The 14559-nt window shown below is 48.5% G+C and overlaps 2 annotated features.

Moving 5' to 3' along the window:
• Positions 1758-1950: a silencer, noted in NCBI's record as "fragment chr13:44999732-44999924 (GRCh37/hg19 assembly coordinates)". NCBI's record gives its function as "represses an EF-1alpha promoter that drives an FKBP-Casp9 reporter gene in an ReSE screen in K562 erythroleukemia cells {active_cell/tissue: K562}" and the evidence as "EXISTENCE:reporter gene assay evidence [ECO:0000049][PMID:32094911]".
• Positions 9431-9959: an enhancer, noted in NCBI's record as "H3K4me1 hESC enhancer chr13:44991723-44992251 (GRCh37/hg19 assembly coordinates)". NCBI's record gives its function as "activates a minimal SCP1, AML or CMV promoter by ChIP-STARR-seq in naive H9 embryonic stem cells {active_cell/tissue: H9 hESC(naive)}" and the evidence as "EXISTENCE:reporter gene assay evidence [ECO:0000049][PMID:30033119]".

Here is a 14559-nt window from a genome sequence, read left to right as displayed (position 1 = left end):
CAGCTAGGTGAACCCACGTGATTAATTCTAGTGAAATAAATGTGGGCATAAATGTCATTTTGTCATTTCCAGGCCTGATTCATAAAAACTTCCCATGGGCAATCCTCCATGCTCTTTACCCTCCAGCCAACTGATTGGAGACAACTACAACCACTTTGAAAACCACGTGTTGGAAGATGGCAGAGCCTCATCTTGGGCTGGGCCCCTGAGTGACCGAGTAGGACCAGAGTTCTTGGCCACGTCCCCAACCTGAAACTGCTTAGGACTGTTATAAGAAAGAAAGGAACAAATTCCTATTAGGTTTTAGACATAATTTTTGAGTTCACTACCTTCATTGGTATACATACATGCATAAAACCTGAAACAATATTACAAAGAAATATAACTGCCGATTAACATAATGCAAGTTGAGCATGTCAGAGCCAAGGGGCAGTAAATAGTTAGATGAGTAGAATATATGTCAAAAAGGTAAATGTTGAGGTTGACTTCGAACTGTAAAATAACACATGGGAAGAATAATGTTTGGCATAATTATAAAAAGCAATTACCTTCCCATGTGGTAGGAATATAAGAGTTTAGAAACATTCTTCTATGCAGTGAGAATTGGCCTGCTGAACCTGTAAAGTGTAACTCACTTTGAGAAACACCACTGGCAAGGAGTCAGCTGAGATTGGAGTTCACAATCCAGGGTCCTCAGACCACATAAAGCCCACTAACCAGAGCTGCTGCTCAGACATGATTTTATGCAGTGTTTAAGAAAATAATGTGAATTAGTGATATCTCTTCTGAAACTGGGATATTGTTCCAAGTTCTAGCAGCTTTGAGTCTGTATTCCCATGTGACAGTCATCAGCTGTGCTGAGTCACAGAAGCTGCTCACTTTAGAATCGATTTGGTCCTCCGGCTGCCATGGCCCCACCACACCTGTGATGGCCCCATGCTGTCAGTGGCTGACGTGCCCCACTCATCTGGCTACATACCTGGCTCAGGTAGGCATTTGAGGTTGTGTTTCAAAGCCAGACTACAATATCTGGTTTTTAAAATGTTGTAGCTTAATTCATTTTAATCCTGCTCTTAAAATTCAAATGATTTCTTAAAGAAGACAACAACTAGATCTTGTTCTAGTATCTGTTGGATTTTATTTTGCTTCATAGATGCAAGCAGTTGGAAATGAGCCGTTCTGCATTATCCTTCACAGATGCATGAAGACCTGCGATCCCCTTCTGGAGAAAGGAAAATGGAATCCATTTACTACCGTCACATGTTATCGAGCATTTACTGTGTGTTATGAACTTTGAAGACAGTGTCTCATTTATTCTTCATACCAGCCCTGTGAAGAAGACATTATTAACCCATACTACAGAAAGGAGAATAAGTAACTTGCCAAGTCAAGTTGAAAGAGCTGATAAGTGTGATGCAAACCAGGTTTGCCCAGCATCAAGGTCCATGCTCTTAGCGCTATTTTAGCTGCTTCCCAAAGACAGGCAGCTCCTTCCTGACATGTGGTGCCTGTCTGGCATCTGTGGCTTCCCCAGAGCTAGCATTCAGCCCATCCCCTTAGTGTGTGCCCCAAAGAGGGATGCGAATCCCATCTCCTTCAGAAAAAAGCAACAGACAGGATTCCGCCAAATCCTTCTAGTGTATCAAGTTGCTTGGTTAGTGGGATCTGGTGGAATTCTATGTCTTTCCAGAAACTACAAAGGGCAGAGTAGGTGCAGATCAAGTCAGAAGATCCCCAGGGAATACACACACACAAAGGCAAATGGTGCCGCCCTCTCCCTGCCCAGCACAGCTGCAGACAGATCCACAGCATAGATAAGACAACGACATTTCCCACGCTGATATCACGGCCACTTGACCCCGAAAAGCCAGTGCTGGAGGACTAAATGTTTCCATAGACAATGCTACTATTTATTCATCCATAAAACCCTCCATAGTTATTAAGCACCCACAACGTGCCAAGCTTAGGGAGTCCCCTAGGTGCCATGGGTACAAAATGAAAACACTTTACTTCTGCTTTTGAGATACCCCAGTCTAGTGGCCAAGAAAGATATATTAAGAATTATTATAAGCCTACATGACACTCCCTCAATATCACTATACACTGAAGTGTCCTGGGAACAAAGAGGGAGAAGATTTATTTGTCTGTGAAGTGGGTAACTGAAGGAAGAAAAGACATAGCTTCAGAGAGGAAGTTTTGGTCTCATTACTAACTTGTTTTGGGAAGAGTATTATAATACCATCTGCTGTTGGCTGCCCAGCATGCATTCTCCTTCCTTCCTTTGGGAAACCCCATATGGCTACAGAAATGGCCCTGATTGGCATATGTCACTCACCTGGCCACAGCCCTGTCAGAGTGAACTGGTCCAGTCAGAGTGAACTTTACGTGTGTTACTCCGAATCTTGTCCCAGTCTCTTGTCCCAATTTCTCTCTCTCTCTCTCTCTTTCTCTCTCTCTCTGTCTCTCCTCTCTCTCTCTCTCGGGATTGGCAATTTGAAAATGAAACACTTGAAAGTGTCAAGCGTGGTGTCTCACGCCTGTAATCCCAGTACTCTGGGAGGCCAAGGCAGCAGATCATTTGAGCCCAGGAGATAGAGACCAGCCTGGGCAACATGATGAAACACCATCTCTACAAAAAATACAAAAACTAGCTGAGTGTGTTGGCACATGCCTGTAGTCCAGCTACTTGGGAGGCTGAGGCAGGAGGATCGCTTGAGCCCAGGAGGTTGAGGCTGCAGTGAGCTATCATCATGCCACTACACTCCAGCCTGGGTGACAGAGTGAGACCCCATCAGAAAAAAGAAGGAAGGAAGGAAAGAAGTGAGGGAGGGAAAAGGAAGGAAGGAAGGGATGCAGTTGTGAGCAGAAAGCTTGAGGACCCTGCAGGGGCCATTACTTGATCCAGAAGACAGAGGCAGCTGAAGGAAAGCTGAGCTGAGCTGTGCGTCTGCGGGCACATCGCTATTTTCTCTGAACTGGTTTAAGTTAGGTTTGCTGTGGCTTGCAAACTAGAGGATCCCTAATGAATACAGGTCCTTTCTCTGTTTACTTGTCAACAAATTGGGATTCCGTTTTTTTTTTACACAGAAATAATTATGGTTGCATGCTTTGGATTTTAGAAGAAATAATTATTGTTGCATACTACTTTGAATTCCCACAGTTTTATGGAAATTATAATTATCTAGTTATGAGATGAAGAAAGAACTAGAGCTGCCCTACCGGAGTTTCCAGTTGAATTCATTGTCATTCACCTGATACCATAGATGAAGGACACGTTCTCTGACATATTTAACTGGTCTTCGTGGTTGAGACCATTCTGTGAATGACTGACAGGAATCTACCTGGAGGTAGTGGTCAACTCTATCAGGGAAAGTCTAGAAGGATCCCTGAGCAAGTGATGATTGAGCGGCTCCTTCTACAATAAAATGCGGACAGCCAACAGGAAGAGGAGAGGAATGTCGGAGACATCTATCTTCTGGTGAACATGCAGAAAGGAGTAGAAAATACAGCTGGTTTCCTGTGACTGGGGCCCATAAGCTGGAAAGAGAGGGCCAGCGAGGTAGGAGTGGGGAGAGGGAGGGCTCAGGGCTGGCACGGCCTGCAATCATGCTACCAAGTTGCAGGGGAGGACCACAGTAGACTCTGTTTTAGGAAGAATGAAAGAGGATGAGAGTCTGCAGAGCAATCTGCCATTGAGCTATTGAAATAGATCAGAGGCTAGCTAACCGAGGGCCTGAATCCAGCAGTGGGGTAAGGGCAAGGAAGGGGTGAACCAGAGACTCACCAGGTCAGAGAGGCTTGTCAGGGTGGGGCCAGGGGAGGAGCGTGGGGCCCTTCTCCGGCTTCCGGCTCAGGTAATTGGGTGGGTGATAGTACCACTGCCAGGACAGGAAGATAGAGGGGCAATAAGTCTGACTATGTAGAGTGAGGAGCCTGTAAGATAACTAAGTGGAGATCTCTCCTAAGGCTCTGGGGCTAGGGGAGAGATCTGGGCTAGGTTGACAGAGGCTCTGACACTGACCAACATCCCTTCTGTGCCTTTCTCTTAATCTCCAACCTCCCTGGCAGCTGTGTACAGCCACGTCTGCCCACGGGATGTGAGCAGAACAGATCTGTGCTACTTGCAGGTGTGGCCCTGGGGAAACTTCCCACATTCTCTCTCTGCATCCACCAGCTGCCTGGGAGGACTTGGAGGATGTGGGGGAGGACAATGCCACAGGACTGAAGGAGCCAGCTCTCTTAGTGACTCTGAAGGGGGCCACCTCCTCCCTTTACTCCCTCCAACTCATAATGAACACCGAAGTGAGTGAAAAACAAAGTTGAAATGTGCTGAGCCACAGAAACTCAGGGCTGGTTACTGTGGTCCGCCAGCCTTGACTGACACAGCTGCAGAGGGTGACGGAGAGCCATTTCCACACAAAGGGTGGTGGAGCTGCTCAGGACAAGTGTAGCCCAGGAGCAGAGGGCCCAGGCTGGAAGCCCAGGCAGGGCTCGCTGAAGGCTGAGCCAGCAGAAGGGACTGGGAAGAGTAGCCAGAGGCGAGGGAGGAGGGCCCTGAAAGCCTGGGAGGTCCAGGTGGAAGCAGAGGTGCACGTCATCACGCGCTGGAGAGATGCCAGGCAGACTCGAAACAGGAAAGTGTCCACGCAGGTCAGCGAGTAGCAGGATGTGAGGAGCTTCCATGGGCTGGAGCAGAACCTAGTTTTAGAGGCCTGAGCAATGGGTAGGAGGTGAGGGGGAGTCAGTGGAAGTCGGCATTTGAAGGAACTCGGCTACAAGACAAAGAAATTGAGAAACAACTAGATGGAGGATCAAGGAGAAACACAGGAAGATAGGAGACATTGGCACAAGCCTATCAATCACAGAGCTAAGGCTGACTGTCCCCGAGGAGGCAAGAGGAAATTGGAATCACACACACGAGGGGAATCAGGGTCTTCTCAGAGAAAGGGCAAGAGAATGAAGGTCAGTGCAAAGATAAATCAGTCTGCAGGTGTTGGAAAACTTAATGTTCCTCCTCCCAACCAAATTTGTCCTCTGTGAACAAGGAAGTGGGGATCTGCCCAGAAAGTTTGATGGCAAAGGCTGCAAAGGAGTTTCAGGAAAGCAATCAAGCTAGAATCACACCCAAGATTTGGGGAAAGGAGTGTTGAAGTCAAGGAATTTTCACTCCAACAGGAAATTCAGACCTTGAAGAATCCTTGCAGTCTCTGCAGAAGCCTTTGCCCCCAAATAAGGTGACCTGGAGACCAGACTCTAGGGCTGGCCATCTGGGCTGTGCAGAAGGCAAGATGGACTTGGATGAGATGAGAGATCACGGAGTTGCTGACCAGGGTAGTTTGCAGAGAGAGAATGGGGGCCTGAATTCCAGCCAATGTCTAAGGGCAGGCAGGGGTGGGACTTAAAAACATGAAAGCTGTTAGTAAGGCTAAGTGGCCAGCTAGATATGAGGGTTAGGACCTTGGTCTTGGTGGGTACCTGGGACAGAGAGTGTGGCCTTGGGAGACTCTTCCATCCCAGCAGATGCTGACACCCACACCATTACACAACAGAATCACATTACATAGGAGCAAAAGAGCAGTCTCTAAACCACCTCTAGTTCTACCTACTCCCTTCCATTACAGGGACACTGAACCCCAGGGGCATAAAGTCACTTATCCATACCACAGAGTTAACGGCTAAGCCAGCACTGGAACCACAAGTGATTGTAGGAGAAATAGAAAAGAGTCCATGAGAAGGGGAAGAAGAAGAGAGCAGGGGCATTCATTCACTCATCCATTCATTCCTCCACTCACTTTTCATTCAGCAAGTAAGTATAGCCTTTTAGCCACTGGGGCCACAAACATGAATATAAATAGGACCTGGTATCTGCCTTGAAGGAACTTCTAGCCAGGGAGGGGACATCAAGTGTGCAGCGCACAGTGGGATGTGAAGGAGGAAACGGTCGTTTCTGCCTGAGGAGCTGGAAGATGAATACCAGGAAAAGTTTCCAGAAAGAAGCCACTTGGGCCAGGCGCCGTGGCTCACGCCTGTATTCCCAGCACTTAGGGAGGCTGAGGTGGGTGAATCACTTGAGGTCAGGAGTTTGAGACCAGCCTGGCAAACATGGTGAAACCCCGCCTCTACTAAAACTGTAAAAATTAGCTGAGTGTGGTGGTGCATACCTGTAGTCTCAGCTACTGGGGAGGCTGAGGTGGGAGGATCACTTGAACCTGGGAGACGGAGGTTGCTGTGAGCTGAGATCGTGCCACTGCACTCCAGCCTGGATGACGAAGTGAGACCCTGTCTCAAAAACAAAAACAAGCCACCTGAACTGAGTGTGGAAAGATGTGGGGGACTGAGTGGAAGAGGCCATCTCAGCAGAGAGAGTGGGGACGCCAGGCCTAGCGGGTGGGCTAGGAGGATTGTGTCTGAGCACTTTGAGAAGGAAAGTGGCCCTCCATTGAGCGGGTGAGCAGGTGAGTGCTTCTTGGACATCACATTTGGATTGGGTGGAGAATGTAGGAGACAACTCTTAGAGAGCTCCGGGTGCAGCGGGTGCCACAGTTTTGCCCCTGGTGGACCTGGCAGATGCCCATCGGCCAGTGGAGAGGGGAGTCAGCTACCCAAGTCACTCAGCCTCGAAGTGGGGGAGGCAGAGCTCGGAACAGGCCCACTGGGCTCCAGGACCGGGGCAGCCCATGCCACCACACAATAACACTGAGGGCTCTGGATCCCAGGCAAGTCAGGCTCATAAATAACGCAAATGAGAAGCTACAGTGCTAACATCTGGGAGGGAGCCTGCTGAGGGAGGAATGATTCACTCCAGCTGGGAAGGGGCATCCAAGGTAGGATCTTGAAGGCCGCGGAGGACTTTGACAGACAGAGAGGATTGGGAGTCGCAGAGTGCCAAGAGCTCTCTACTGGGGACACTTTTAATTATTCTGATGGAATTTCTTCCTTAGGGAGGGAACATCCATGGATTTCAAAGCAATGAGCAGCTGAAATCTGCATTTCCTCCAGCTGTGGCTCCGCTGGTGGGCCCAGCCCTCATTCTCTAACCTGCCAGAGTCAGTGATTCTCTCAGGAGGGCGTCTGGGTATTGTTTTTTCTCTTTGTTTGGCACTTAAAATTTTTTTTTTTTTTTTTTTTTTGAGACAGGGTGTTACCCTGTCACCCAGGCTGGAGTACAGTGGTGCGATCTTGGCTCACTGCAGCCTTGACCTTCTGGGCTCAATCAATGCTGAGTAGCTGGGCATACAGGCATGCACCACCACATCTGGCTAATTTTTTGATTTTTTTTTTTTTGTAGAGACAGGGGTCTCTCTATGTTGCCCAGGCTGGTCTCGAACTCCTGAGCTCAAGTGATACTCCTGCTTCAGCCTCCCAAAAGTGTTGAAATTACCGACATGAGCCACTTTGCCCAGCCCTACCACTTTGTTGACGCTAAATAAGTGTTTGTAGAATGAATGAATGAATGAATGAATGAATGGAAAAGGGATATGCAAAAATCTCTCTATTCTTCCACTATTAGGGAAATCTTTTATAACTTTGAGATTATAAAACAGAAGAGTTGGTTTACCCACAGGGCCCAACATTTAGCTTCCTTCTCTGAGGTTCTTAATTTTTTTGTGTGTCACAAACTGCTTTGGTGTCTGGTGAAACCTATAGAACCCCTTAGAATAAAGTTTTAAATGTTAAAATATGAATATATGGGATCACAAAGAAAACATTTATATTAAAATATAAATATTCAGTTATCTGAATATTTTAAGAAATGCATAGATATATTTGTTCATTAACACATTAAATAATAAGATCTACTATCAGGTCTCATTAATTACTGTAATTTCAAAGCCGTGATGAGCTTAATGACATTTAAAAATCTCTGCAACAACTGTAATAGATCTAAAAACATCTATGATTTTCTTCTGTTGACAAAGTCACAAAACTGCTAACACTAGTATGGACTGTTGCCTGCTGCATTTATCGTCTAAGTGACAAAGATTAGTGAAACAAATATGCCTTTTTTTTCCCCATCCAAATTCATGCAGCCACTGAATTCCATCCCTGGTTATGAACTTCCTCAGCCTCCTTACCAGGTATTCTTGCAAAGGCCATGGTCGCTGAGGAAGAGGCATACCTGAGACCAGGCCCTCCTGAGCCTGTGACTGAAACCATTGCAGGAAGGTCAGGTGGGGAAACCAAGTTACTGGAGTTTAGAATAATTTTGGTTCTTTGGTTGCAGAAGGAAATGGTAGAGACAAGTCATTTGCTTTGCCTAAGACCATGCAGGATTTGCCTCCAGAAAAAAAATGACTGGGTTCAGAAGCTCTAATGGATTGAGTAGGTTCCTGGCTTGGTGGCATTTAAGCAGGCCTCAACTCTGAATTTTCTCCTTTCACCTCAGTGGACAAGAACTCAATGAAATCCTTGTATAAATACCTTGCGTTACCAGCAATCGGCTGAAGAATTTTGTTTGTCTCCTCATTTGTCTTCTGGGCTGTGTATGAACTTAGAGATGAGGAGAAAAGAACAATAAAACCTCGAGTTGATTGAGAGTGTGTGGAAACACACAGCATTTCTGCATTTGGCTTCACATTTCCTCACGGCAGTTTGGCAACATGTACCCCAAACCTTAAGTCTGTGCACATACTTCGGTATAGTAATCCTGCTGCTAAAATTTTTTCTTAAGAAAATAATTATTTTTCATAAAGATATGTATACAAAATGTTTATTGGTGTTTTAAACAATAATACAAAATAGAATAATTAAAACACAAACAAACCAAGCAAAAGAAGAAAAAAAGAAGAAACCATTTGCAACATATTGCAAAAAGTGCAAAACCAAATGCTACCAAGATTCAAAAGAGTATTACCGTACAACGGCAATTTGGAAAGCTAAAACAAATATACATCAAAAATGCTAGAAGCACTTACATGAAATGTTAACAGTGGTCATCTTTGCCTGGTGGGATTCCTGATGAGTACTATTTTCTCCATGTGCTCTTCTAGGTTTTCTAAAGTTCTTGCAGGGTGCATATATTATGTAGCTCAGCTAGATGTATTTATTTTTGAGAAAATGAATGCTAAGTTTGTGTTTGAAAGAAGGACCAGTGCATTTGCTCCAAAAAATAATTTCTTCACAAAATTAGAGCTCAATTCAAATCTGTCATCTATCTCCTAACAGTGTGAATTCAATAAGACAACCTGGTTTGTTTTTTGAGACAGACTCTCCCTCTGTCACCAGGGTTGGAGTGCAGTGGCACCATCCTTGCTCCTCAGTGAAATAACTTGGAAAGGTCTGGACGGGAGTTGGCCTGGTAGCTCCCCTCTTGAGGTTCCTCCTCCCACTAAATAAGGGCAGCAAGCTCAGTGGTGAAGCAGGTCCTACCCAGCTCTCCTATTTACTGTTGTTATAAGCGAGCAAGGCTTCTGGGCTGCCATCTGCACTGAGACGTGGACATGAGAGTGGTGAGTGTCTCCTGGGGCTTAAGGACTACTGGGCTCATTGGGCCCCTCCACACTCCAGAGCTCTCACTTCCTCCTTCTCACGTGGAGGAAGCAGAGGTGGCAGCAGGAGGACCCAGGTGACTCCTGCAGGGAACACAGGCTCATCTCGCTAAAACTGTAGCCTTCTGGAATTCGCTAACTGTACATGTTTGAAATTCCTGATGCTCTTCTTCGGCCTTACAAACCTTTCCTTTCAGAGGCTGATCACATCTCAGTTGTAAATAATATTTAGCGTACCTTTGTGCCTTCACTACACAAATCTCCAGTGATTGTTTTCATCAGACAGAGCAAACCATGTGTAGCTCCCTCCTGGACCGTTGGGCCCCTCTGCCCCACCATCAACAGGCAGATTCCAATCATTCTTCCCACTGTGGCTGAGGGACGCCCTTCGGGTGAGGATGAGGGGAGGGACTGATGTCCTGGGCTCTGTGGAGGCCCCATTCGGGTGATGCTGGAGGCAGAAGGGGGCTTTGATGAGGGAGGAGTTGGTCAGGAATGCTTGTCACGGGCACAGCAATGAGTAGCCCATGCAGGCTGAGAGCCCTGCAGAAATGGGCCGGCCCAGTGTGTGCAGAGCTGATCGGTAGGGCTTTATGCCTGTGCTAGTCAGGGTTCTCCAGAGAAACAGAACCAATGGGATACATATACATATACTGTACATATACATATACATATGCACGTATACACATATACACATATATACATATACTATACAAATACATATACAAATACATATACATATACTATATACAAATACTTACACATATACATATACTATACTATACATATACAAATACATATACATATGCATATGTAAGAGGGGAATATAAGAGGGGATCTATTATGGGAGTTGGCTCATGTGATTATAGAGGCTGAGAAGTCCCACGATCTGCTGTCTGCAAGCTGGAGGACCACAGAAGCTGGTGGGGTAATTCAGCACGAGTCTGAAGGCCTGAAAACCCAGCGCTCTGACATCCAAAGTCAGGAGAAGATGGATAAATCATCTCAAGCAGAGAGAGCGAACTCTTCCTTCCTCTGTCTTTGTTCTACTCTTTGTTCTACTCCGGCCCTCAGTGGATTGGATGAGACCCACTGACACTGGGGAGGGCCACCTGCTTTACGCAGCTCACCAATTCAAATGCTGATTGTTTCCAGAAACCCTCAGAGACACTCCCGGAAATCATGCTTTACCATCCATCTTGACATCCTTTAGCCCAGTCAAGTTGACCCATCAAATTAAGGATCACAATGCCTCTCATTCTTTCACTCCACCCATGCATCTGAATGTGATGAGATATCTATGGAACTACTCTATATACTATATAGCTCTGGATGCCATAACATAGTTCCTACTGCCTGGGAGCAGAGAAAAGCAAGTAAACAATTGTCATCTAGAGAAAGTCCTGGGTGAGTGTGAGTTTAAGGGGTAGCCTGCTGGAGCTAAAGAGGAAGTGACTAGCTCTGCTGGAGATGAGGGGAGGGAGGGGATACAAGGGGAAGGAAGGAAGAGCGGTATGAAAGCAGAGCCACGTGAATTGGGACAGCCTCTCAGGGAACTGGGTCTTGCAGCCAAAGCCGAGGCTGCTCACCGTAGAAGAGGCTGGCAACATGGCAGGCGGCAGGCTCCGGGGCCACCGAGAGAGCTGAGGCAGGCAGGCGGGCCTGTGCCCAGACTCCTTGGGAATCCTATGTTGACATTCGTGAGGCAGTGTGGGTTGGGGGCCAGGGCCTGGGCAGGGGCCACGGCTGATACTGCAGCACAGAGGCCACTTGGGCAGCTGTAGCCATGGACACTGGCAGGAGGGAGCAGGTCTGAGAAATATTTAGGAATGAAAGGGTGGATGGAATGTGATGCGTTAGGAAAGAAAGGGAGGGCCAACAACGACTGGTGCTGTGTGGGCAACCCGCGTGTTCCGGGTCAAGAAGCTGAGTTCAGTTTTGAGTTGGTTACGGGGCAGCCCTGTGGGGAAACCAGCAGGCAGTTGGTCATTGGGATTTGGAGCTGGGATGGGGAGGAGCGGCTGCCGCTGAGCTTTACGCATAACACCATCCCGGGGAAGGGGCCCTGCCGCATCCCAGTGCACCGCCTACAACTGTGGGCAATTCCTTTCCTCTCTCTGTGCCCCAGCTTCCTCCTCTGTAGCGTGGAGTGCATTAGGTTGGTGAGGATTGAATGAGCCATGCTCGGTGCGTGTTAGCTATTGTTATGATTGTTTGGGATTCTGCAGGTTGTTAAGTGGTGGCTGAAACCTTGGGTGGATGCGACAGCCCAGGGACAGAATTGTGAGTGAGCGGGGAGAGGCCCCAGGACAGCGACGAGCCTCGGTGGGCAAGAATGTTTTCTCACTCCGATTCTGAGTATCTGAGGCAAAATGATGCAGAGAGGTTGTGGCTTAAAATCTCTTTAAAATAAATTCTCACCAGACCTATATCTAAGCATATAAATAACTGAGTTTTATAAGCAATCTGAATTAAACATTTACTCGTGATGTTTCTGAACGAACAAAGCGACACAGTAAACACTGTATAGGACATTTGGAGGCACCCAGGGACACTGCTGAATTCATGCCTCGCTGGTAAGGAGTTGCATGACATTGGGGAGTCAACCGCACTCTCTAAGCCTGAGTTTATTCACCGTAAAATGAATCGGTTGGATTAGAATCATTGCTTGGTTTCCTTTCAGCTTTGGGTCTAGCTTTTTTTTCTTCTTCCAAATGGAGTCGTCCTGTTGCCCAGGCTGGAATGCAATGGCACGATCTCGGCTCACTGCAACCTCCGCCTCCCAGACTCAAGTGATTCTCCTGGCTCAGCCTCCAGCATAGCTGGTATTACAAATCCTGCCACCATGCCCAGCTAATTTTTCTAATTTTTAGTAGAGACACGGTTTCACTATGTTGGCCAGGCTGGTCTCGCACTCCTGACCTCAGGTGATCCGCCCGCCTCGACTTCCCAAAGTACTGGGATTACGGGCGTGAGCGCTACCACGCCTGGCCGGATCTAGCATTAAGGGCAACGAAACGTGAAGCTGGTTTTAGTTACCCGATATACTTGAAAGTTAAATGTCGGGTCTTCTTTAAGAGCACGGATACGGAAGGCAGGCGGAAGGAGACAGTGGAGCGGCTGGCGCGCAAATCTAGGAATCGGGCAGCCGCTAGGCTGAGGCCACTCCGACTCTGACCCTGACCCTGGCTGGTTCCCAGTGTTACCAGAAGGGAGGGTCGGTGGGTCAGTCGGTCAGCAGCCCAGCCTCCCAGACGTGAGAGCTGCTGTGCTGGAAGCGCGCACACGCCCACTGTGTCCGGAATTGGTGGGTTCTTGGTCTCACTAACTTCAAGAATGAAGCCGCGGACCCTCACGGTGAGTTTTACAGCTCTTAAATTAATGTGGGGCGCCTGGAGTTTGTTCCTTCTGCTGTTCGGATGTGTTTGGAGTTTGTTCCTTCTGGTGGGTTCGTGGTCTCGCTGGCTGAGAAGTGAAGCTGCAGACCTTCGCGGTGAGTGTTACAGCTCTTAAGGCAGCCTGTCTGGAGTTGTTCATTTCTCCGGGTGGGCTCGCTGGCTTCAAGAGTGAAGCTGCAGACCTTCGCAGCGAGTGTTACAGCTCATAAAAGCAGTGTGGACCCAAAGAGTGAGCAGTGGCTCATTTGCAAAGAGCGAAAGAACAAAGCTCCAAAGTATGGAAGGGGACGTGAGCCAGTTGCCACTGCGGGCTCAGGGCAGCCTGCCTTTATTCTGTTATCTGACCCTACCCACATCCTGCTGATTGGTAGAGCCCAGTGGTCTGTTTTGTCAGGGCACTGATTGGTGCGTTTACAATCCCTGAGCTAGACATAAAGGTGCTCCAAGGCCCCACCACAGGAGCTAGATACAGAGTGTCCATTGGTGCATTCACAAACCCTGAGCTAGACACAGGGTGCTGATTGGTGTGTTTACAAACTTTGAGCTAGATACGGAGTGCCAATTGGTGTATTTACAATCCCTGAGCTAGACACAAAGGTTCTCCACGTCCCCACCAGACTCAGGAGCCCAGCTGGCTTCACCCAGTGGATCCCGCACCGAGGCTGCAGGTGGAGCTGCCTGCCAGTCCCGCGCCGTGTGCCCTCACTCCTCAGCCCTTGGGTGGTCGATGGGACTGGGCGCCGTGGAGCAGGGGGCAGTGCTCCTCGGGGAGGCTCGGGCTGCACAGGAGCCCACGGAGGGGGTGGGAGGCTCAGGCATGGCGGGCTGCAGGTCCCGAGGCCTGCCCTGCGCCAAGGCAGCTGAGGCCCGGCGAGAAATCGAGCGCAGCGTCGGTGGGCTGGCACTGCTGGGGGACCCAGTACACCCTCCGCAGCCTCTGGCCCGGGTGCTAAGCCCCTCATTGCCCGGGGCGGCAGGGCCGGCCGGCTGCTCCGAGTGCGGGGTCCGCCGAGCCCACGCCCACCCGGAACTCACGCTGGCCCGCAAGCACCGCGCGCAGCCCCGGTTCCCGCCCGCGCCTCTCCCTCCATACCTACCCGCAAGCTGAGGGAGCCGGCTCCGGCCTTGGCCAGCCCAGAAAGGGGCTCCCACAGTGCAGCGGTGGGCTGAAGGGCTCCTCAAGTGCCGCCAAAGTGGGAGCCCAGGCAGAGGCGGCGCCGAGAGCGAGCGAGGGCTGTGACGACTGCCAGCACGCTGTCACCTCTCACCATGACCACTGCAAACACAGTCGCTGCCCTTGTTGTGTTTCCAGTCAGTTGAGGAAGCGAGATAGTGAACAAGTTCCAGAAATGAATGAAAAAATTCTAAGGCCATGGGTGAGTCACTGAATTTCTCTGGGCTTCAATTTCCTTCCCTGTAAGATGAGATATAAAATGTTTAACTCAAGGGCTGTTATGAGAGTAAATGTGCTAACGTGGTTTATTCGCATTTGGCGGGGCTTGTGGAGATGCATTCAGTACCAGGAGAGTTAATAAATGAGGACAGAGTGGTCAAGTTATAAGAACATGAAGGCAGGGTGAATGAATCTTCAAACAGCAGAATGGTGGCCCCCAAGAGTTGCAAGCAGTGGGCTGCAAATTCAGTTCCTGATTCCAAGCTATCAAAGAAAGAAG

Source organism: Homo sapiens, chromosome 13 (assembly GCF_000001405.40).
Source record: "Homo sapiens chromosome 13, GRCh38.p14 Primary Assembly".
NCBI classification, from domain to species: Eukaryota; Metazoa; Chordata; class Mammalia; order Primates; family Hominidae; genus Homo; species Homo sapiens.
The sequence above is the reverse complement of the archived record's forward strand: the minus strand, read 5'-3'. Positions and strand labels throughout refer to the sequence as shown.